General features: G+C 35.6%; 1 protein-coding gene across 4 annotated transcripts in view, besides 1 other annotated feature; it reads left to right on the plus strand.

The window, feature by feature from the left end:
- SLCO1C1 (solute carrier organic anion transporter family member 1C1) overlaps window positions 1-24,591 on the plus strand; it is a 58,055-nt gene that overhangs the window by 8,726 nt on the left and 24,738 nt on the right. For 3 of the 4 annotated variants that reach the window (NM_017435.5, NM_001145944.2, NM_001145946.2), the window contains 6 exons: window positions 1,892-2,024; window positions 7,329-7,453; window positions 11,082-11,228; window positions 13,075-13,173; window positions 17,747-17,992; window positions 19,033-19,197. In NM_017435.5, coding sequence (NP_059131.1) covers window positions 1,892-2,024; window positions 7,329-7,453; window positions 11,082-11,228; window positions 13,075-13,173; window positions 17,747-17,992; window positions 19,033-19,197 — 915 coding nt within the window. The remainder of the gene's footprint in view (window positions 1-1,891; window positions 2,025-7,328; window positions 7,454-11,081; window positions 11,229-13,074; window positions 13,174-17,746; window positions 17,993-19,032; window positions 19,198-24,591) is intronic. The other variant, NM_001145945.2, reaches the window with a different exon arrangement.
- Window positions 18,078-18,372: a silencer, noted in NCBI's record as "tiled region #7088; HepG2 Repressive non-DNase unmatched - State 24:Quies". NCBI's record gives its function as "represses a minimal TATA promoter and a strong SV40 promoter by Sharpr-MPRA in HepG2 cells {active_cell/tissue: HepG2}" and the evidence as "EXISTENCE:reporter gene assay evidence [ECO:0000049][PMID:27701403]".

Consider the following 24,591-nt stretch of genomic DNA (forward strand, 5'->3'; position numbering starts at 1 on the left):
AACTTTCTGTACCTGTTTTTTTGTGAGAGGCTAATGATGGTAGATATGGAATAATTTTTATATCCAATTTCATTTTTTAAAGATTTTGTATCATCATTTATATTTCAAATGTATCTCCTGACAACTCAGAAAGGATACTAAGGAAGCAAAAACTTTGATAGATACAGTATATATATGGTATATAGATATATATATATATCTGTATTACAGGTACTGAACTCATATTGTCTTGTATATGACATGCCCATTAACGTAACACAGAAATAGCTTGTAAACAGAAGTGTTTATTGTGTGGTATTGGTGGAGTGTAGGCGAGAATAGGAGAGAATTACCTATAAAGTGAATGTCAACTTTCATTTTATGTTGGTTCGTTTATTGTGGTACATTAACAAACATATAGATAGAATTATCAAAATAATATGATACACAATGTCTTCTACTAAATACTTAAATTTCAAATGAGACATCTTGTGCTAAATTATTCGTTTTTTAATATGAACATTAAGAAGAGCTTAATTCTTCTTGGAGCCATAAAGACTAGGACCACTGTGCAAGTCATGTTTCTCACTATCATTCTTATTATCCTCAAGCCCACAAAAATTACTGCTTTATTTCCAGTTTACTAAAGCTGGCAATGTGCGTGAACAGTAGTAAATTAGATGATTGCTTACAGATGTAGGGAAACATGCTTTGCTCAAAAATTGGAAATGAGGAGAACTTCAAAGCAAGGCCACCCATTAGCCATCACAATCAATTGCTGGGAAATTGTTAAGATCTTACTGTATTTAGCATGGTACATCTTAAAAACTAAATATCTCAAATAAATATAGCTAAAGCTTTAAAGCCCCTTGAAGTCTAAAACCCTAAACAATGTTTATCAAAGCATGTTCTAGGAATCATCTCCATCAACACACTTGAGTTAGTATTACAAATGCAGATTTCTTGGCCTGACCTCAGATCCATGGAATCAGAAACGTTTGGTACTTGCCAAGAATCGCATTTTTAACAAGTTTTCATTTCCTTAACCGTTTCCTGTCAGTATTTTTACGCACAGCAAAGCGTGAGAAATATTACTTGAAACATGTTTAATCACTTATCACCATCATCAACTAAAAGTAACGTGTCACATGCTTCATTAGAGACATTTTAGAAAACCATAATTTCTACTTTCAAAAAAACCCAATATTTTTAAACCATTTTTCACAAAAGAGATAAATGGGCACATTTTATAGAGATTTTGTATTTCATAAAATTTGCTTTATAGGCATATGTTGAGGTTATATAATTGATGTACACCTGAAGTCGCCTATGTGGAATAATTTTTATTTCTATTTTGAGTCTTAATCTTTTTGTACAAAGTTTATTAACAAATCATAAAGTATCATTTGTGTACATGTGTTTCATCATTTTATTTCATTTAAAGTACAGTTGTGTTTAATTTTTCTATAAAAGATATCAGCTAAATAATTTGTAATGTGTAGTCCATGAGCAATTAGAACACTAATAGAAGTTTTCACATAAATTTTAATGAATAAAGAAAAAATAAGAAGTTTACTTCAAATTTACTAAAAAATATTTGAGAGGGAAGCTAAAGGGAGCCTTCTAGAATTTGACTTACTGATAAAATATTTTACAAGGACAAATAATTAGGTTGGGTGAAGTGAGGTAGAAGGATTGAATTAAAATATTTCGATAAAGGGATAAGGTGATTGAAGTAATGAACATGAGAATTTCAAGGGTCATCTCAGATTAAAGGAAAAAAATTAAATGATGCAGAGATGGCTTAGTTAAAAGAAAACATTGCTTGGTCTGCTGTATACATTCATTCAGTTATGCTGTTGACTTCTTTCTAAGTTCTCTAATTTATGATGTTTTATTCTTTTCCTCAAAGGGAATCTCTTAGTTATAACATTTGTTAGCTACTTTGGAGCCAAACTTCACAGGCCAAAAATAATTGGAGCAGGGTGTGTAATCATGGGAGTTGGAACACTGCTCATTGCAATGCCTCAGTTCTTCATGGAGCAGTAAGTCTAAAGCAATCATCTTTTCCTTGCCTTTCCAAACAACTGCATTTCTCCCTTTTATGATGATTATTAATTATGCAAATTTAAGCTTAACCCATGATAACTTTGTCTTACTTTTATTACATTCTCTTTGGATAAAATTTCACAACAATTTTATAATTTTTCTTCTGACAATAAACTGTAAAAAATTGATAGATTACTGTATATTGATATCAACAAGATTAAAGAAAGATTTTACCTACATGTTTTGAGTCAAATGCTTTAATTTAGCTGTAGGGGCAAAATATATAATTGAAAATAAATTAACATGGTAAATGTCAAATAGGTAATTAATAAACACTGCAGACAATAAATTCTGGATTATGGAACACTGGCTGCTAGACAATTAACTCAGGGATATATTATCAACTCAAACAAGTATTCAATGTCCATACAGTATCTCTTAGACCTTTATCAATGGAAGCAGGGTGTCTGTATCCTCTAACCCTAAAGTCTACTTTTGGTACTTTTGTTAATACATGCACATGACTTTAGTAGTTCCAAAGATTTTTACCTATGTCATTTTTACCCTTATAGCAACCTGTGGGGTAGAAGAACATAGTTTATCTTTTTTACTTTAGAGCTAAGGACAGGACCCCATGACTTGAAAAGTTTGATGACTTTTGTAAATTTAGGTGTCTTGTAATTATGGAATCAGAACCTAAAACAGGTCAGCTGACTTCTCAGGCAGCAGTTTTCATACATATCCATGTCACTGCCCTTCTCTGTGTTTATCTATTGCTGATAAAAGAAATGACTACCAAAAGGTTTTGGAGTAAGAGAATATTTTAGAAGATTATATTTCAAGTGATACTTTATTGTCCACTCTAGATCATTGTATCAGGACAGTTTAGAGCTGGAGAGACTTAGAAATGATCTAGTCTGAACTTTTTCTTGAATTTCTAGACCACTTATGTAAGTACAGTCAGATTTTTGACCTCCCTGGCCAATCTATCAAGGTAGGGCTCAGAATTCTCTGAGTGGGAGCTTTTCTGCCCATTTGGATGAATTCCCAGGACCCTAAATTTCTACTTGGAGGGAGTTCTGTGGTTTGGGCACTTCTGCCTGCTCTTTGGACAACATCCTTTCATAGGTCAGAAGTTTCCTTGATCATTGAGATTCTACAAAAATGTTATGTATGTTCAGCCTGTAGAAAGAATGGGAAGGAGAAGAATGAGAAAATGGGTCTCCAACCTGCCTACTCCCTGCTTGATCTTTAGTTGTGTTGCTGTTATCTGTTGATTCATTGAGCTTCCATGTGACAGTTTGCTCAGGGGGAAAAGCAGTTCCACTACTGAAAAAATTAAAAATGTGAAAGTAGTCACATAGGATAGATAAATCCATTACACCAGACTTAAATCACTCTGCAGTGGATCAGTAGCTCTTCTATGTGACAATGGCTACACTACTTAATTTTTCTAGGTCTCAGTTTCTGCATCTTAAAACAGGTATTAAAAATAATTCCTAGCTGATAATGCCATTGCAAATATTAAGTGAGATAACACAGGTAAAATGCTTATCAAGGTTACCAACCTAACTAGTAGCTATGTCATCATTGTTGTGTGTTATCAATCCTTTTAGCTAATTAAGCCACCTGGTTTTAACCAGCAATGGTTTTGTCTTAAAGCTGCTGTATACAGATGAATAATTTTATTACTTTAAGTTAGTGACAAATATCGAATACCCGTATAAGAAAATCAGAGAAAAAAAAATGTATTAAAAAGAAGGTCGGACAACCAGACAGGCTAGTGTTGACAAAGGATATCAAAGGGACAGAGACAGATTCTTATCCAACACTTTTGACATGGTAGAGGATATATTTGTTTATTTATTATTTAATATATTTGCCAGGTACAATGCCAGGTAAAGGAGCTATTTCTGCGAGAAAACAAAATAGAACAAAAACACACACAATTCTTCCTTCATGAAGCTTGCTCTCTACTGAGGATTATCACTCTAGTTTCTTTCCACCTTTACACAACATTAGTAACTAATTGGGTACTTATCCAAAATATGATTTTCGTTCTCTAAGAGATAACTATGCTCTGTCTCCTTTGCAGAAATATCCTTAATGTCCGACAAAAGCTATTAATCATGGATAGCAACTATTGAGGGCCTATTCCTAATAGGCTGTTTAGTTTTATGTATTAGCTCATTTAACTCATTAATTTAGCAAGTGTATATATATTTGTGATATATGTATATATATATAATTTTTCTAGGCAGTAAAGAAAGAGTAGTGACAAAATAATCTCTGCCCTCACAGATCTTCTGAGGAGGAGACAGAAAATAAACAGATAAATACAGTATGTCAGAGAATGGTAAGAACTATAGAGAAAAATAACCCAGTAAAGACACATAAGGAGTATGTGTGGTGGGTTGGGGGTGGTTGCAGTATCAAGTAGGGTAGTCAACGTATGGCTCACATAGTTGGTGACATTTGAAGAAGACCTGATAATAGTAAAGAGGACAGTCATGTGGATATCTGGGAAAGAAGACTTCTAGCCTAAGTGAACAGTGAAGGCAAAGTTTCTTCAGCAGGAGGAAGTCTGGTGCATGGATGACCTGCAAGGAGGCCTGTGTGGCTAAAATGCAATGACCACGGAGAAAGCACAGAAGATGAATGCTGAGAAGTAAAAGGGAATGAGAGAATATGTCAACGTTGTTTCTCACTTTGATGGGCATTTGAATCACCCGAGGCTCTTAGTAAACTACAGATTGTGATTCAGTGGCCCTGGGGTTGGTTCTGAGATTCAGCTGATGTTGCTGGTCTGCAGACCATCCTTTGAGTCATAAAGTTAGGACAATTACAAGAATTTAGTTTGTCCTCTGAATGAGATGCGAAGTTTTTAGAAAGCTTTAAGCAGAGTGACATGATCTTACTTATATTTTTAATGGATTACACTGACTGCTGCTTGGAGAATTGATTCTGGTGGGAAAGCTTGGAAGCAGGGAGACTATTTAGGAGGCTACTGCAAAATTTCATACATCAAAGTCAAGAGTGCATCAGTCAGGATTTGAATGCGGGTCAGAATTAAAACCCCTAATATAAAAGCATTTATAATATTAGTCCCCGATTTAAATAATTACACTTTTGTCTCTTCTCCAACAGAGTCTCAATAGGTACAGACCACATCCATAGCTCTCATTTTACAACTCAGTTAATTAAAACCTAAACGTTAATTTTTTTAGAGTATCACAGATAGCAATTAGTAACAAAAGTGGCTCTTAGATAAGCTGCCAGTTATTTGAAATCAAAATAATTATGATGCTTGCAACAGTAACCTGTTGACAGAAGGAACTGAGTTAAAATAATGAAAAATTTTCAAAATACTCCATGATCACCATCCATACTTACTTCAATAGTCTTGAAGCATCATAACAGTCAATGGTTTCTCTGTAATTATTAACAATATAAAATTATATTTACCATGATTTCAATGCTAAATGTTCTCATGTGTAGTTAAGAATTGAAAACAGGCCGGGCGCGGTGGCTCACGCCTGTAATCCCAGCACTTTGGGAGGCCGAGGCGGGTGGATCATGAGGTCAGGAGATCGAGACCATCCTGGCTAACAAGGTGAAACCCCGTCTCTACTAAAAATACAAAAAATTAGCCGGGCGCGGTGGCGGGCGCCTGTAGTCCCAGCTACTCGGGAGGCTGAGGCAGGAGAATGGCGTGAACCCGGGAAGCGGAGCTTGCAGTGAGCCGAGATTGCGCCACTGCAGTCCGCAGTCCGACCTGGGCGACAGAGCGAGACTCCGTCTCAAAAAAAAAAAAAAAAAAAAAAAAAAAAAAAAAAAAAAGAATTGAAAACAGTTAACCTCATTAAGTGATTCTTAACCTACTATGGTCAAGGAACCCTTTGATAAAATTATAAAACCTGTAACCCTCTTCTCTTAAGCATTCACATAAAAACATACATACAAAAATGTTCTTACTTTTTCAGTGGGGTTCATGAACCCATTGAGGTGCAGATTGCACAAAACAGATTTAAGGTAACCTGTTTATCAACTTGAATATTTCAGTAATGCAATACATCTTTTCCTTACCATGCTGAATAAACAGTTCTCTACTTTTCTTTTTTTTTTTTTTTTTTTTTTTTTGAGATGGAGTCTCGCTCTGTCGCCCAGGCTGGAGTGCAATGGCGCGATCTTGGCTCACTGCAAGCTCCGCCTCCCGGGTTCACGCCATTCTCCTGCCTCAGCCTCCCAAGTAGCTGGGAGTTCTTTACTATTAATATGCATGCCAATGCATATTCCTGTGATTACTAGCCTTTGGCCAAATAGTGCCTGAATAAAATGAGAATCAAGATGATATTGAGATGTTTTCTTACCAGATACCTCTTCCCCAAGGGGTACAAAGAGTGTGGAGAACGTGGCATATGAAGGATAATTTGAGTGCAAGAGTAGAGCCGGGGGATTGTAGATTAGCATTATCACAGGCTGCCCACTAAGCAATGGCTCTTTATCCCAGTTGCTATCATAACCTTATACACAGGGGAAAGGGTGGAATTAGAAGTAACTTGGTGCTATGCTAGTAAGCAGTAGGGAAAAAGCAGAATCTTATCAGGATAAATGGTACAAAATCCATATGTCATTTTCCATTCTCCAGAATCAGCCTTGTAATTCTACTAAATTTACAACTCTAAATAAAGTATTCTGATGGCAATACATTGTTCAATTATGGCTCTTTCTCTGACTCAGAAAAAATCATGATTTTATCAAGTTGAATACTTTTTCACCTGGGGGGAGGTGATTTATAGTCACTAGTTTGCTTTAAGATGAGCCTCTATGGGTACTTTTTACTTTTATTTTCTGTCATTAATTGACTGGCCCAGGTACGTGTAAAGCAGGAGTGTCCAAATTTTGGGTTCCCTGGGCCACATTGGAAGAAGAAGAATTGTCTTGGGCCACACATAAAATACACTAACAACAGTTGATGAGCTAAAAAAAATTGCAAAAAGAAATTCATTATGTTTTTAGAAAGTTTATGAATTTGTGTTGGGCTGCATTCAAGGCCATCTTGGGCCACATGCAACCCACAGACCGTGGGTAGGACAAGCTTTGTGTAGAGTCTATGAGCCAGATCTTCTGGCTACCTCTTCAGCAAAATCTGCTGTTAAACACTGGCTTGATTTGGTGAATTAGGTTCAGAGACAGCTGCAAGCTCAACCTGGTACCCTAACGATTCGTGTAGCATACACATAATATTCTTAGTATGATGTTAATGAGTCTATCATGAAGAAAACATTCCTCTTATGCAGGTACAAATATGAGAGATATTCTCCTTCCTCCAATTCCACTCTCAGCATCTCTCCGTGTCTCCTAGAGTCAAGCAGTCAATTACCAGTTTCAGTTATGGAAAAATCAAAATCCAAAATAAGTAACGGTAAGATCATTTTTTTGACTTGACTAAACAAGCTTTTAAAAAAAAGACTTTATATGTGCTTTAGGATGGACAAAAGTGTCTATGATTTTTGCTCCCAAAAGCTTTACTACTTAAATTGAGATATCACAGTACCATAAAAATTCCTAGAATATAAAGCAGTATATGATTAGATCCTAAGAAAATATACCAGATGATCAAATCTTATGGAAAAAAAGCATTAATTGATAGTTCCTGGGAAAATCTTTCAAAGCTTCTGAATAAGTGGGTTTTGAAAGCAGGGTGAAACTAGTTTAGCACATACAACTCTCAATCCATTGCTCAGATATGAAAGAAGTATAATTTTTCCCGTAAGTCAACTTAATTTCTGTGTTCAGCTACTTTTTGTCAGAATGGCAAAAATGTAATCTCAATTTGTCCGCAACCTCCCTTTTTGTCCCCAGGGTTTGTTTACATTCTAGGGAGCTTACATAAGAGTAAAATGGGCAGCTATGGTGGGAGCTCTTGGTGTTATCAGTTCCCTGCCAGCTTACATATCTAAAACCCCCGTGGTCACACTGTTTGGTCATACTTGTCAGCATGGGGCTATCTTATGTCCATGTTCATACTTTTTTTTCTCACAGCAGCTCTCTCCAGTACAGAAGTGGCCATCTTAGATACATGGAAATAACTCTATTTTTCACCTGAGCAAGGATGCAGGAATTTTATCAAAGTGTCTAGTGTTCTAGATGGCTGATGCATATGACACAGCAATGCTTTGTCTGAGACACCCTTGGCAATATGGGAATATTCTCTTCTATATCACTGTAGACACTGGAAGTCCTATGAGTCAAAGGCAGGAATGCTGAGCTAGACTGAAGTAGAGTCTTGCCTCCTGCCTGGGCTTCACTTGGCCGAGGTAACACAGATTTTCCTTACTCAGAGTAGCCATGAATTTGTCCATAGGTGTTTACTGTGTCTCTAGGACGCAGTACAGGCAGGGAGAGCAAATCCCCTCTTCTCCCTTCAGCTTCCCTTCAGCATCAATATGCTCCACACTCCTTCCCTGCCACCTACCAATTTCAACCCCTACTCCTAACCGGAGGAACCACATTGTATACAGGCAGAATGGAAGCCTTTCTAAAATTAATATATACCTGCCATCCATCCAAATCTCTTATCTATTCCACAAGACCTTTTCACTCCTCTAATATTCTCATTAGTACATTCTGTTGAGATGTCTTTTTTTCCAGGCAATGAACCCCGGCTGTTTGAATGAAGGGAGGGGCCAAAGGACTAAAAACATATGGAAATGTGGAAGGGGAAGGAAGAGGAAAGCACAGAAATGTAAAAAGTTTACCCTCTCCTGCTGTAGCAAAAGAAGGAACTCATTCTAGACAAAGAGGAGAATATGAAAGGGGGTAATAGATATGTTCAGGAGGATGCATTCAAATCAATGGACAAGAACAGCAGCCTTGTTTATGTAAAAATATAACAGATAATAAATATGATTTAGGTTCAAATAAGGAGGCAGGAAACTGACTGAATGGCTTGTAGTTTCATCTGTATACAATGTACGGCCAGGGAAGATGTTTTCTTTTTTTTTTTTTTGAGACGGAGTCTCGCTCTGTCGCCCAGGCTGGAGTGCAGTGGCGCGATCTCGGCTCACTGCAAGCTCCGCCTCCCGGGTTCACGCCATTCTCCTGCCTCAGCCTCCCGAGTAGCTGGGACTACAGGCGCCCGCTACCACGCCCGGCTAATTTTTTGTATTTTTAGTAGAGACGGGGTTTCACCTTGTTAGCCAGGATGGTCTCGATCTCCTGACCTCGTGATCCGCCCGCCTCGGCCTCCCAAAGTGCTGGGATTACAGGCGTGAGCCACCGCGCCCGGCCAGATGTTTTCTTTTGACAGCACAACTAGTTAGGAAATATTTAAACCTGTAATGTAAAAAGGTGAAAGGTGAAACATAGGGCTTAGACTCAGTAATTAAAATGTGTTTAATAAAGGGAGAAGTTAGCAGACAGATACAGAGAATGACTCATAACTCAATTATTTCCCTTCCTTCAGGTGAGCTCCTGTTCCCTTAAAGTCTGTTTCGTTAGACATAGTGGACACAAGACTCATCCTAAAGCTGATAAGGATCTTCTCAAAACCACTCCACATAGAATCCTCATCTCCCCTGCAACAATCTACAGCAGAGCTGTCCACAGAACTATCTGTGATGATCGGAATGTCTTATATCTTTGCTGTCCAATACAGTAGCCCCTAGCTGCATGTGACTATTGGGTATTTGAAATATAGTTAGTGTGACAGAGAAAGTGAATTTTAATTTTATTTAATTTCAATTTTAATAGTCACATGTGGCTTATGGTTATTGAATTAAAAAGCACAGACCTAAGGTGCCTACACTTCTCTACAAGAAGACTCGCCTACCAACAAGCTTCTTAAAATTATACAATTGCTAGGGCTAGAATGCACATTAGAGTTAATTTTTAGAAAAGGAATTCATATCATATTTTTGGAAGCAGAATAGAAATCCAGAGAAGACAAGTGAAAATTCCATGGTCATTTAAACTTTTCTAGAAGAGGCAGAGTCAGATAGAATCCACGTGAGTGCAAAGGAGTCTTTTCTGTTAGTTATGCAGTCTGATTCACTTGCCCAAAGGTGTTCACCTTAGTTCTTCACATAATCTATTCTTCACAATCAAAAATTAGTTTAAGAGTTATTAACAGGTAAAGATAACTCCTACCTCATAGGATTGTTAGGAAGATTCAATTTAAAAATGCCTGCAAAGCACTTAGTTCAGCACGTAGCAGAGAAAGAACATTCAGCAGTGATGATTGTTGGAGGTTGTTAACATTATCAATTTTATTAAAGCACCTAAACCTTCAAAGCTATGTTTCATTTATGATATGGGGGTAATTATCCTAGTGCACATGATCATATTAAGACATGAATTTTATGAAAGCATTTAAAAATGGTTAGCCTTGAATTTTACTCTAAAAATGCTGTCAAATGATTTCTTTTGTTGGAATAACTATACTGCTAAAGTATAGGGATTTATAATTTTTATGTAAATTTGTTTCCAGAGTCCTAAAAATGGTTATTCACTAACAAACAAATATAAATGTAGGCAATACTGCCCAAATGTTGGAATATCAACCATATAAAAATTTGAATTTCAGATAAAACTGGGTCAACAATAAGATTACTTATGATTTCTGCTGAAAAATAGAACTAAAAATTAAGGTGAGAAAGACTTGTTCAAAAGAACTAAAAATTAAGGTGAGAAAGACTTTGTTCAAAATTTTCTGTTTTGCCCCAGATAGATACTGAATGTCATTGTAGTGTGGGAACTCAAATAGCTCAAGGTAGGAATGAAATGAGAAGAAGAGAGAGAATAAAAAGTAAAGGGATCAGGAACAAGAAGCAATAAAGTTCCTTGGTGAAGTCTCTTGGGGATTTACTCTGCCTAAAAGGTTGAAGGTATAAAACATTTTTAGAACTTGACCAAACTCCCATCAAATTAAGACTATTGCACAAAAACTCCTGCATTCTAGTTCAGTTTAAGATATACGGTAGAAATGCAGAATAAATACTTAACTTTTAAAGTGATCTATTTTCAATCCTCTGGTTTGCCTTTCTTTCAAGAATGTGAAGTGGACACTAGCTCTTCCATGTGGATTTATGTTTTCCTGGGCAATCTTCTTCGTGGAATAGGAGAAACTCCCATTCAGCCTTTGGGCATTGCCTACCTGGATGATTTTGCCAGTGAAGACAATGCAGCTTTCTATATTGGTAATATTGGCATATTGCTTCACTTATCTTCTTGGGAAGCAGGGTGTCTAGTTTTCTGAATTCCCCTCTATGCTAAATTAAGTGGGGAAGCTTTTTATACTTCATATCCAACTCCTTTATTTAGCTCACACATTTCTGAAGTGCACAGTTCAGATTTGGATGATGAAGACACCATAGTTAGAGGGATCTATTGCATTAGAAAAGGAACATCAGATTAAAAGAAAATAACTGCGAGCTTAGCTGCAATGACGTATGACCTTGTGAAAGTATCTTCATGGGCTTCAGATTTCATAGGTTCTTTTTAGTGGGTTAACTGTACAGCTAAAGCACTTAGGCATTTTAGTTTATTTAAAAGTTTGTTCCTTGAGCCCTAGCTTTCCATTTGATAAGCCTTGATAAGCGCTTTCCATTTGATAAGCCCTGATTATTTAAAGCTATGAGGGATAGGCAACAAGAAATCTTGAGATCTCAAAAGCAGGTAGAAATGGATAAAGAAAAGTATATAAAAAATAAAAGCAAGGCCTGAGGCTACCTCATCTCTGGAACACATCCCAGTAAATAGACCAGCAGCTAAAAATCTGAAAAACCAAAATAATATAGCAGAGGCAAAGTCCTAAGGTAAGACACATCTAAACAGCATTTATTGGTTTCCTCTGATGTCTTAATATTAAGCTAGAAATACACGTCAGTCTCTCCTTTTTTAACTGTTATTTTACCCTTTCCTATGGTGTTGACATACATCAGTCTCGATTTCTTGAAATTCTAATCTTTTAAAGGCCTCACGTTCAGGGACAGAAAGGCAAGATTTAAATTCATTGAGGGGCGCTACAGCTAGGTCCACTGTATAATCTTGCCTTGGCTATGCTCTGCAGGACTCCAGGGGGTGCTGGTTACACCTGAATAGGCTATAGTTAAGATCACAGCTCTTACTCTAACAGAAAACTTCAGTAAAATCAGGAACTGGAACTGCAACAAACACTTCATCACCTGCACTAGGCAATTACTCTAGAGACTGGAGGAAAGGTCACAGCCAGGAGAAGCATACAGGTGCTTAGGTGTGCCCTTCTTCTCTAGGAGCTCAGGGCTTGTTCTCTTTTCCTCTGTTCCAAAAAGTATCTGGTAACTGCTGTTTACTCTTCCAGTTAACTTAATCTCCCATGAATATGTGTGTTTTAAGCTTTGTGGTGAAATGAAAAACAGATTGGAGATATTTGGAAGGGAAGAACTACCTTTCTGGTTATTAGAAATGGTGTCCTTTAGGCCATCTGTTCCACCTGGCTATGAAGGTTGGCCTGAATGGTCAAGAGGGTTCCAGAGATAACTTTTCCTGCTCCAAATCCTAGCACCTTTGCTAGCTGCATCTGGGGATCTTTACAGGTCCTGGTCTCACTAATGATACCACAGAACCTTGAAATGAATGGACACACTTTTTTTCTAAGGTGGTAGAAATCCATTTGAATGTCAAAACAAGTCTTATGCTTAACTGAACGTAAAATGTTTTTGACAAACTATCAAAATTAATACAATTCTAATTTTTATCAATGAGGAATCTAATCCTAGGAAATAAAAGTTTTTTCCATTTTGGAAAATTAATTTCCTCAGAGTATTAATGTTATTTTCTTACTAAGACATATTTAATGCCTTAAAATTGTTCATTTTTCTCCCAAAGCAGTGAAGGACTTATTTCCTGATTTGATGTGGTTTTAAAGTTAACTAAACACATGCAAATGAGTTAAAACATTTTGAGCTACTGACTGGATCACACATTTCTTGTTTAAAATTGTATTAATTTATCAAAGTAAAGAAATGACAGCTTTTTTTTTTTCCTTTTCTTTTCTTGGTGCAGGGTGTGTGCAGACGGTTGCAATTATAGGACCAATCTTTGGTTTCCTGTTAGGCTCATTATGTGCCAAACTATATGTTGACATTGGCTTTGTAAACCTAGGTAAGGAAGTTTATTTTTTATTTATTCATGTATTTTAGTCACTGTAACATTTTTAATGGGAACAGTGTGGAAATTATCAAATTGCCTTTTTATAAAATGATGGAGTTGTAATCTTTCATAAACTAAAAATTTTATTATTAATATAGTTATACAGATTAATAAATGGAATATGAAAAATAGGTGATAATTAGAACTGGATGACCAATGGTTTGTTATTAAGATCTATCTTTTTTCACTTTTGATTTGTCAGTTTAAATGCATTCCAGCATAGTTAAGACTGAAAACTGTAGCTACTTGTTGGCTCTTATTGGCTTCAGGTGTGTCAACATTTTTTATAGTTACATCAATTGATAATGTATTTGGGGACTTGACAGAAAGACCAAGGATTTAAAGTCTACTGGCAACCAAACAGCCCTTCTTTTTTTTTTTTTTTTTTTTTTTTTTTTTTTTTTTTTTTTTTTTACTCTGCAAGTCATTTTTAGGTGGAAGCATGTTACAGCACATTATCGAGGAAGACTGGCTTTTCTTCTGGGACGTTGCTTGTGTAGGAAATAAATGGCAAAGGGGACACTGATTTTTCCATAGCTAATAACTTGTTTCTATCTCTGGGAGATGCACCCTTTGGAAATAGATGGCATTTGTCAGTATTTTTTTAAAGAATTCCAAGAGATCCGTTATAAACTAAACAAGCGTCACTTAAACAACAAACATGGAATTGCATTTTGAAGTCCGCATGTTAAAACAGAAAGCAAAATTCTTGCATTTAAATCAAATAAACTACAAGTGAAGCTTCAAAAATGTTATTTATTCATTCATTAGTTCCCATCCAATTATTTTGCATTTACTTTATGCCAGGTGCTATTCTACAGTTCTGAACAAATCAGTTGAGTTCCTTGACTTCAAAAAGCTTAAAATCCACTGATGGATTTTAGAGACAAGAAAGTATAGATGCGATGAGCAGTACAGAGGAAAATTGTTAAGGGGAAGCAATTAACATGCAGCAATAACCTAGTATAAGCATTTTACCCAGTATAATGCAGTGGCAGTTGAGCCTACTTGTCAAGGGCCATGTGTTTATTTCATTCTCACAGTGTGTTATGGTAGAATAAAATGAAATGTTTTCTAGGTTCTTGCCTAGGAAGAAAACAACACCCACTTGGTTTGATTCAAAAACCTGTCAATACTTACTTTTTAGTCAAATGAGAAATGATTTCAAAAACAAACTTTTTATGACGAATAAGATAACTAAAATTTTGCTTACACATACAAATCTTGCTTCATATCTAGAATAGCTCTGAAGTATTGTTAACCATCATTTAATAAAAAATATTCTGCTGATTTGAATGAGTCTCGAATTTAGTATCATAATGAGAGGTTTCCAACGGGTTTGGACTGGAGGGTGCAGAGCATAACTCTTCAAGTAAAATCTCACACAGACATTCAATATGTAAATCAAACGAAAGTGGTGCTGATATAGAGGAGTCGCCACATGAGGTTTTGAGCCTTCAAAATTCTCCCCATGGGTTGCCTTCCTCTTACCAGGGGTCTCTTACAGAACCTGAGAGCACAGTTTGAAAATCATGAAGCCTATTCCGGAATTTAGACTATATTTTTACTCTAATGAACAAAAGAAAGTATCTTGCTCCAAAATGCACTCTCTTTCCTTTAATAACAGAGAAAATACAGACATAGCTTGTTTTATTGTGCTTTACTTCATTGCATTTTGCAGATACTATATATTTTTTAAATTTAAGGTCTGTGGCAACTCTGTGTTGAGCAAGTCTATAGGCACTATTTTTCCGATAGCATGTGTTCACTTTGGGTCTCCGTGTCACATTTTGGTAATTCTCCTAATATCGCAAGCTTTTACTATTATTATTATTATTATTATTATTATTATTAGCTTACCCATTATGGAGATCTGTGATGTGTGATATTTGATGTTAGTATTGTAATTGTTTTGGGGCACCACAATTGTGCCCATATAAGACAGCAAATTTAATTGATAAATGTTGCATGTGTTCTGACTGCTCCACTGACTGGCCATTCCCCTGTCTCTCTTTTTGGACTTCCCGATTCCCTGAGACACAATAATATTGAAATTAGGCCAATTAGTAACCCTACAATGACCTCTAGGTGTTTAAGTGAAAGGAAGAGTTGCACATCTCTCACTTTAAAAGGAAAGCTAGAAAAGATTAGGCTTAATGAGGAAGGCATGTTGAATGCCAAGACAGGCAAAAATCTAGGCCTCTTGCACCAAACAGTTACCCAAGTTGTGAATGTAAATTCTGGCAGGAATTTATAAAAGTGATACTCCAGTAAACACATGAAAGATAAGAAAGTGAAATAGCCTTATTGAGATAAAGTTTTAGTAGTCTGGAGAGAAGATTAAACCAGCCACAACATTTCCTTAAGCCAAAACCTAATTCAGAACAAGGCCTAACCCTCATTAATTCTATAAAGGCTGAAAGAGATGAGGAAGCTGCAGAAGAAAAGTTTGAAGCTGGCGCAAACAGGTTCATGAGGTTTTAGGAAAGAAGCTGTCTCCATAACACAAAAGTGCAAGGTGAAGCAGCCAGTGCCGGTGGAGAAGCTGCAGAAAGTTATCCAGAATATTTAACTAGGATTATTGATGAAAGTGGCTATGCTAAACAACAGATTTTCATCGTAGATGAAATAGTCTTCTATTGGAAGAAGATGCCATCTAGGACCTTCACAGCCATAGAGGAGAAGTCAATCCTGACTTTAAAGCTTCAAAGGACAGGGTGACTCTCTTGTTAGGGGCTAAGGCCACTGGTGACTTTAAGTTGAAGCCAATGCTCATTTAACATTCTGAAATTCCTACACATAGGCTCTTCCTGTGCTCTCTAACTAGAACAATAGAGATATGCTGAATGACAGCACATCTTTTTGCAGCATGGTTTACTAACTATTTGAAGCCCACTGTTAGGATCTGCTGCTCAGGAAAAAAAATATATATATATTCCTTTCAAAATATTACTGCTCATTGGCAATGCACCTAGTCACCCAAGAACTCTGATAGAGATGTACAAAGAGATAAATGTTTTCATGCCTGCTAACATACCGTCCATTTTATACCCCATGGATCAAGGAGTAATTTTGACTTTCAAGTCTTATTATTTAAGAAACGTATTTCACAAAGCTATAGCTATGATCAGTAGTGATTTCTAATGATTTCTAGTGATTTCTAATCTAGACAAAGTAAATTTAAAACCTTCTGGAAAGGATTCCCCATTTTAGATGCCATTAAGAGCATTTGCAATTCATAGGAGGAGGTCAAAATATCCACATTAGCAAGAGTGTGAAAGAAATTGATTTCAGCCCTCCTGGATGACTTTGAGGTGTTGAACACTTTAGTGGAGAAAGTAAGTGCATATGTGGTAGAAACAGCAAGACAACTATAATTAGAAATGAAGCTTGAAGATGCGACTGAATTGCTGCAATCTCATGATAAAGCTTGAACAGGCTGGGCGCGGTGGCTCATGCCTGTAATCCCAGCACTTTGGGAGGCCAAGGCGGGCAGATCACCTGAGGTCAGGAGTTCGAGACTGGCCTGAGCAGCATGGAGAAACCCTGTCTCTACTAAAAATACAAAATTAGCCGGGCGTGGTGGCACATGCCTGTAATCCCAGCTACTAGGGAGGCTAAGGCAGGAGAATCGCTTGAACCCGGGAGGCGGAGGTTGTGGTGGGCCGAGATCGCGCCATTGCACTCCAGCCTGGGCAACAAGAGTGAAACTCCATCTCAAAAAAAAAAAAAAAAAAAAAAGCTTAAACAGATGAAGGGTTGCTTCTTGTGGATGAACAAAGTGAATGGCTTCTTGAGATGGAACCTACTCCTGATGAAGATGCTGTGAACATTACTGAAATGACAACAAAAGATTTAGTAAATTACATAAACTTAGTTGATAAAGCAGTGTCAGGGCTTGAGAAGATTGACTCCAATTTTGAAAGAAGTTTTACTGTGGGTAAAAATGCTGTCAAATAGCATTGCATACTACAGAGAAAACTTTCATGAAGGAAAGAGCTGATCTATGTGGCAAGCTTCATCATTTTCTTATGTTCATACATTGCCACAGTCATTTCAACCTCCAACAACCACTGCCCTGATCAGTCAGCAGCCATCAACATTGAGATGGGATCCTGTACCAGCAAAAAGATCACTATTCACTGAAGGCTCAGATGATTATTAGCATTTTTTAAGCAATAACTTTTTTTTTAAATGAAGGTATGTACATTTTCAGACATAATGCTGTTGCATACTTAATAGACTACAGTATAGTTAAACATAACTTTTGTATGCCCTGGGAAACAAAAAAATTGATGTGATTCTGTATTGTGAAATTCACTTCATTGTGGTGGTCTGGAGCTGAACCTGCAAAATCTCCAAGGTATGCCTGTGGTAAGATCCAGATAAAAAAAAAAATAGCATAGATGAATTATTAGGTATTTTATGATGTTATAGAGTTTTGCAAGAATTTATTTTTAAGTATATTATTTTAACATATTAGCTTTGCTGTTTGTATTACTTAGCCATCCCCTCTGTCTTTCAGATCACATAACCATTACCCCAAAAGATCCCCAGTGGGTAGGAGCCTGGTGGCTTGGCTATCTAATAGCAGGAATCATAAGTCTTCTTGCAGCTGTGCCTTTCTGGTATTTACCAAAGAGTTTACCAAGATCCCAAAGTAGAGAGGATTCTAATTCTTCCTCTGAGAAATCCAAGTTTATTATAGATGATCACACAGACTACCAAACACCCCAGGGAGAAAATGCAAAAATAATGGAAATGGCAAGAGGTAAGTCAAATTCTTGATTTTGAAGTATTTTCATTTTTCTGTTGGGGCTTAAGGAGATTTATAAATTACATCCCTCTCTTCCCTTCGTGTATTAAAAAGTTGAGAAACCATATCAGAAGCAAAAATGGAAATTGATGTCAGCTTTATTACTGAACAACTGATTGCAGTACACGACCAAAGAGCAAAGGCTTGACAGCCATTCCTGCTGATGTCTCCACCCTCTCACACCTCCTCAGTTTAGATCCTACCATTGTCTCTACCCAGGATTGCTGCTTCCTGTAATTCTGTGTATACAGGAAATAAAAGGCTTAATCTTCAAGGTTGGCAGCCTTTCAACAGATAAGATCTATTCATTTGAGAGATGTGTATCAATGCATGTCTCTCACCAATGATCAAAGGGGTGAGTGTTCTGTAGGCAAAAACCCAGTGTTCTAATGAACCCCCTTCATGGAAATGAGCAGCCCCTCATGATATTGGTCCCCCTCTTCTTGTCCCTTCAAGCAATATTTACATTTATAGAAATTCTTCACATGTCTAATTGGTAGGCTACATAATAGGAAAAAGGGAGAACACCAATGCTCATTTCTAACACTAAAATTCATATATTAAATGGAGATAACTCTCATATTTCTTTCTCTTTGACCACAAGCTAAGTTTGAGGAATAGAGACAAGAAAAGTGAAGGTCTTTATGTCCTGCCTGTGGCTCCCAGCTAGATGATGAGGGAGTATTCTCATCCTTTTCGTCTTTTGCCCACATCAGTTAGAGGAATCTGTTCTTGTCTGACTCCTACCTTTAATATAATCTATACTGCATGTCTGTAGAAATGAGTGCCTATGTCTGGATTCGAACCTGGCCAGATCGCAGGCTTGACGCATGCCAGTGGCTTACTATATACATAGTGTATGTGTGTACCACACTGTGACTACTCCCAAACTGTGTGACAATGGGCCCCAGCCCTGTAAGTCCTGCCAGCACGGCTACTTCTTCTTCCATGCGTGACACCAACTTTAATTAGTCTATGTTATTTTTGTTTTACAGATTTTCTTCCATCACTGAAGAATCTTTTTGGAAACCCAGTATACTTCCTATATTTATGTACAAGCACTGTTCAGTTCAATTCTCTGTTCGGCATGGTGACGTACAAACCAAAGTACATTGAGCAGCAGTATGGACAGTCATCCTCCAGGGCCAACTTTGTGATCGGTATGCTCATCTGCCTTTCATGCTTTCTCAGAGGGACTGTCTTAGAGGTACCTGATTAACTCGGGAATCTTCGAGAAGATTCTTCCAAGATTTAGGTAATTTATGACATTTTAGATGAGCTCAAAAAGTAACAAGAATGTTGTAGCAAGAATTATTCACATCTGTGGGTAAGTAACCCAGAGAGCAAGCAGTTCTTGAAGTGATATCATAGAGATGAAACATGCATTTTATGAGGAGTTTGTTAATAATACTGGATATTTGTCTTTTAAGTGCAGCCGAAACCTCAAAACAGTGGCCATTTTACATGAACAGTTTCTAGGATTATATAAAATGCACAATGAGATAGGTTAAAAGATGTTCATTCCAAAACAAAACTTGTATTTTCGCGGTCAAAAAACTTTTCTGACTCCTGGCAACTGAGTTAGTTCAAAGGGTTGTGTTTCTAGCAACACAGTCAATAATAAGATAGAAAAGTATGAAGAAATGAAAGAAGAGAAACCAGAACTTACAAATACATGACCACCACTGTGGAAGCAACTAGATATTTTAAAAATCAAGATTCGTTTCTTTAATCCATGAACATGTCATTTAATGTTACTGTTTCAAGGCATAACATATTTGTTTCTTGGGACATATTCCTTTATGATAGGAGACTCCAGTGGTATAAAATAATTTTCTCTAGTATTGTAAAAATCAGTCTATATTTCTACCTCTGAAAGAGACCTGGAAGGAGAAAAAAACAGCCAAATGTATTTTAGGAGATATAATTTTTCTATGATAATCTTGGGTAATGGGCATATAGCACATGCTAATATAATTGACAGTTTTAAAAGATTTTTCTCCAAAATTCTTGATGTTAAGGTTACGTTACTGAACATTTTTACTTTTAACATCAATTGATTTAAATTAATTTTATTACTTATTGGCTGACCTAAAGAAATATTTTGTGGCTTTTTTCTCCAACACCCCATGCATGCTAATCAATGCTTTATATTGATTTTAACATGAATAGATGAGGATTTAAAGTTTAAGAGAGACTTTATTTTATTTCACTTTTATGTCTACATTGAGATATAACTTATCAACAGTTAAGTCTACAGACCTTAAACAGTTCAGATGGATAATTTTGATATATATAATGTGTGTGTGTGTGTGTGTATATATATATATATATATATATATATATATATATATATATGTGTGTGTGTGTGTGTGTGTGTGTGTCACATCCAGCATCCAGAACATACAGAATATTTTAGTTCCCCAGAAAGCTTAACTCTCCTATCAGTCAAAACTTTTCCCCAAAGCTAATAACTATACTAAACTATATTATCATAGACCAGCCTTGCCTGTTTTTGAACTTCATATAAATTAAATAGTATATTATATACTCTTTTGTGTCTAGCTTTTTTCAACTGAAGTGAAATCTATGAGATTATTTTATATTGTGCATAGCAGTGGTACATTCTTTTTCATGCTATGTCATATCTTATTACATAAATAAACCACAGTTTATTCATTTTATAGTTCATGGACATTTGTGTTGTTTTCTGCTTTCAACTAATAGTTATTTATAATACTATAATAGATAATATAATAATATATATTATAAATATATAATTTCATATACTATGAAAATAATTATACATACAATTATTTATAATAGCATTATAAATCATTATGTATTTATATGTATATTTATAGGTAATATTATAAATTTATGATAGTATAAATAATTACATTATAAAACATATATTTAAAATATCTAACATATATTAATATGTATATAATATGTATTAATTATATATTATATATATTATAATAAATTATATAAAATAATATATACAACATGATATATAACTATCATATATAATATATAAAATACTTTTTATATTAATAATTTTTATAATTATTATTTATATTATAAATCATATAATTATTTATAATAGTATTTTAAATAATTATAGTTAAAGAAAGAAAAAATACAAATAAAAATATGTATTTTAATATGTATTAATATAATATATATTATATTATTTATAATATATTATAGCATATTACACTATAAGATAGTATTATATGCTATATTAAAATTTATAGTATATTACATATAGTACAGATAATATAGTATAATATATGATATATGGTAATACTATAATAATATAGTAACATCTGGTATTATATATAGTATATTATGTATACTATAATATATAATAATAATGCTATTATAAAATTATTTATAATAGTTAAAAGCAGAAAACAACATTCCACATGTACATTGGTGGGCCACTATGCTCATTTTTCATGGTTATACCCTGGAGTGCAATGGACATTTGTGTTGTTTTCTTTTAACTAATAGTTATTTATAATACTATAATAGATAATATAATAATATATATTATATTATACTGCTAAGTGCAGTTGCTAAGTCAGAGGGAGAATATGTGTTTAAATAGAGTAGATATTGCCAAAACACACGGAAGTTGTGCAAATTTATACTCCTATTAGAAACGTAAGAGCATTCCAGTTGCCCCACATGCTTATCAACACTTGGAATTGTCAATTCTTTTCACTGTAACCATTCTTATGCGGTATGGTTGTGGTATTTCATGGTGGTTTAATTTGCATTTACCTAAAACTCTATTCTTCAAAGTTTCTGACATGTCATATCTACAGATAATTCAAATACTTTTGTGAGAGATAAGTAATAGTATCTAACAATTTTACATCGTTATAGCTAGGATTGTTCCTGAGATCATATTGGTTTCACATTAGTAAGTATGGGGTGCAGCCGACTAAGCGTAAGTGGGCCAATTATTCAATATCCTCTCACCCTTACTTTGATTATTTGTACGATGGTGAAAATAAATATATCACTAGGTTGAAATAAAGATGAAAGTATACAGATAAAATGCATAGTAAATGCGTATATCTGTCGTTCAATAAATATTATTTCTCTCTTTCTTTTCTTCTTCTATTCAACCTCTCTTTTTCTTATTTTTTTTTTTTAACTTGGGCTATGGGATAATGATCTTCCTGCAATAAAATATGAGATAGATACAAAGAAGCACATTTCCTTTGCTTCTTTGAGAGAAGGCATTTGACATACCATGGAGGGGTAAATAAACAGAAATTTCCCGACATGTTCAAGGGCCAACTGTTACAACGACAACTTAGTCTTCCTGTACATGTTTTTAAATGTTAGCCACATTCTTTCTAAAGTTTAGAGATAGCATTTTTTCTCAAGTTAATTACTTTAACTTTGTGGAAAAATATTAAAGGAAAATAAATGACAATAAAATTTAAATCCAAGAGCTAGGAAGCATTTGTGAAATGATTTTGCTTTTTAAAGTTTGTGGAATTTTAAAAAGATTTTTAATGAAAGAAATTTGGATAGGCAGCTAGATTTTCATTTTTTCTTTTGTCTTTTATTTATTATTTATTTATATTTTTCAAGTTTTATTTTGGAATAGGGAGTATGTGTACAGTGCAGGTTTGTTACAAAGGTATATTGCATAATGCTGAGGTTTAGGGTATGACTGAACCTGTCACCCAGGTAGTGAGCATAGTACCCAATGGGTAATTTTTCAGTCTTTCTCTTCTCCTTCCTTTCCCTCTCCAGTAGTTCCCATTGTCTGTTGTTCCCAACTTTATGTCCATGTGTATCCAATATTTAGCTCCCACTGATATGTGAGAACATGTAGTATTTGGTTTTCTGTTTCTGAGTTAGTTCACTTAGGATAGTGGCCTCTAGCTCCATCTGTGTTGCTGCAAAGGGCATGATTTCATTCTTTCTATGACTGCATAGTATTCTGTGGTGTATACGTACCACTTCTTTATTCAATCCACTGTTGATGGGTGACTGATTCCACGTTTTTGCTATTGTGAATAGAGCTGTGATGAACATATGGGTGCATGTGTCCTTTTGATAGAATACTTTATTTTCTTTTGGGTTTATACCCACTGATGGGATTGCTAGGTCAAATGGTAGTTAAACTCTTAGTTCTTTGAGAAATATCCAAACTGTTCTCCAAAATAGCTGGACTGATTTACATTCCCACCAACAACCTACAAGCATCCCCTTTTCTCCGCAGCCTCACCAACATCTGTTATTTTTTGACATTTTAACAAAAGCCATTTTGACTGGTGTGAGATGGTTTCTCATTGTGGTTTTTATTTGCATTTCTGTGATGATTATTTATGAAGAGCATTTCTTCATATCTTTGTTAGCTGCTTACACGTTTTTTGCTTTGTTTTGTTTTGCTTTGTTTTTGAGCCAGAGTCTCGCTCTGTCACCCAGGCTGGAGTGCAGTGGCGCCATCTCGGCTCACTGCAAGCTCCGCCTCGCGGGTTCACGCCATTCTCCTGCTTCAGCTTCCCGAGTAGCTGGGACTACAGGCGCCCGCCACCACGCCCGGCTAATTTTTTGTATTTTTAGTAGAGACAGGGTTTCACTGTGTTAGCCAGGATGGTCTCAATCTCCTGACCTTGTGATCTGCCCGCCTCGGCCTCCCAAAGTGCTGGGATTACAGGCGTGAGCCACTGCGCCCGGCCACGTGTTTTCTTTTGTGAAGTGTCTGTACATGTCCGTTGTCTACTTTTTAATGGGGTTATATGTTATTTTCTTGTTGTTTCGTTTAAGTTCCTTATAGTGTCTGGATATTAGATCTTCATCAAATGCATAGTTCGTGAATGTTTTCTCCCATTCTGTAGAATTTCTTTTTACTTCCTTGATGGTGTCTCTTGCTGCGCAGAAGCTCTTTAGTTTAATTAATTTATCAATTTTTGGCTTTGTTGCAGTTGCTTTTGAGGACAAAGACATAAATTCTTTGCCGAGTGTGATACTGAGAAGGGTTTTTACTAGGCTTTCTTCAGGATTTTTATAGTTTAAATTCTTACCCATAAGTCTTTAATCCATGTTGAGTTAATTTTTGTATATGATGATGATAAGGGGTCCAGTTTCATTCTTTTGCATATGACTAGCCAGTTACCACAGTACCATTTATTGAATAGGGAGTCCTTTTTCCATTTCTTGTTTTTGTCAGCTTTGTTGAAGATGAGATGGTTGTAGGTGTGTGGCTTTATTTCAATTTAAGCTTCTCCTATAAATATTAAGTTACATACAAATGATCTTATCTTTTCCTTCTCAATACAGAGACTGTAATAATTTAGTCATTTTTGCATAATTTCTCAGAATGCTTTTTGTAGACAAGATCTCTAGTAGACAAGATATATCAACTATCATTTATGACAATGATTATCATTCTCAATTTTTGGAGGTGTTACACAGACAAGTAGGAAAAAATTAAGAGAATAATTTGAAGGAAAGTTGCTTATAAAAAACATTATTTTTTTTTGTGAAGGTCCAGGATATAACATGAACTTTACTAGGAG

The sequence above is a fragment of the Homo sapiens genome, chromosome 12 (genome assembly GCF_000001405.40).
Source record: "Homo sapiens chromosome 12, GRCh38.p14 Primary Assembly".
In the NCBI taxonomy this organism is placed as follows: domain Eukaryota; kingdom Metazoa; phylum Chordata; class Mammalia; order Primates; family Hominidae; genus Homo; species Homo sapiens.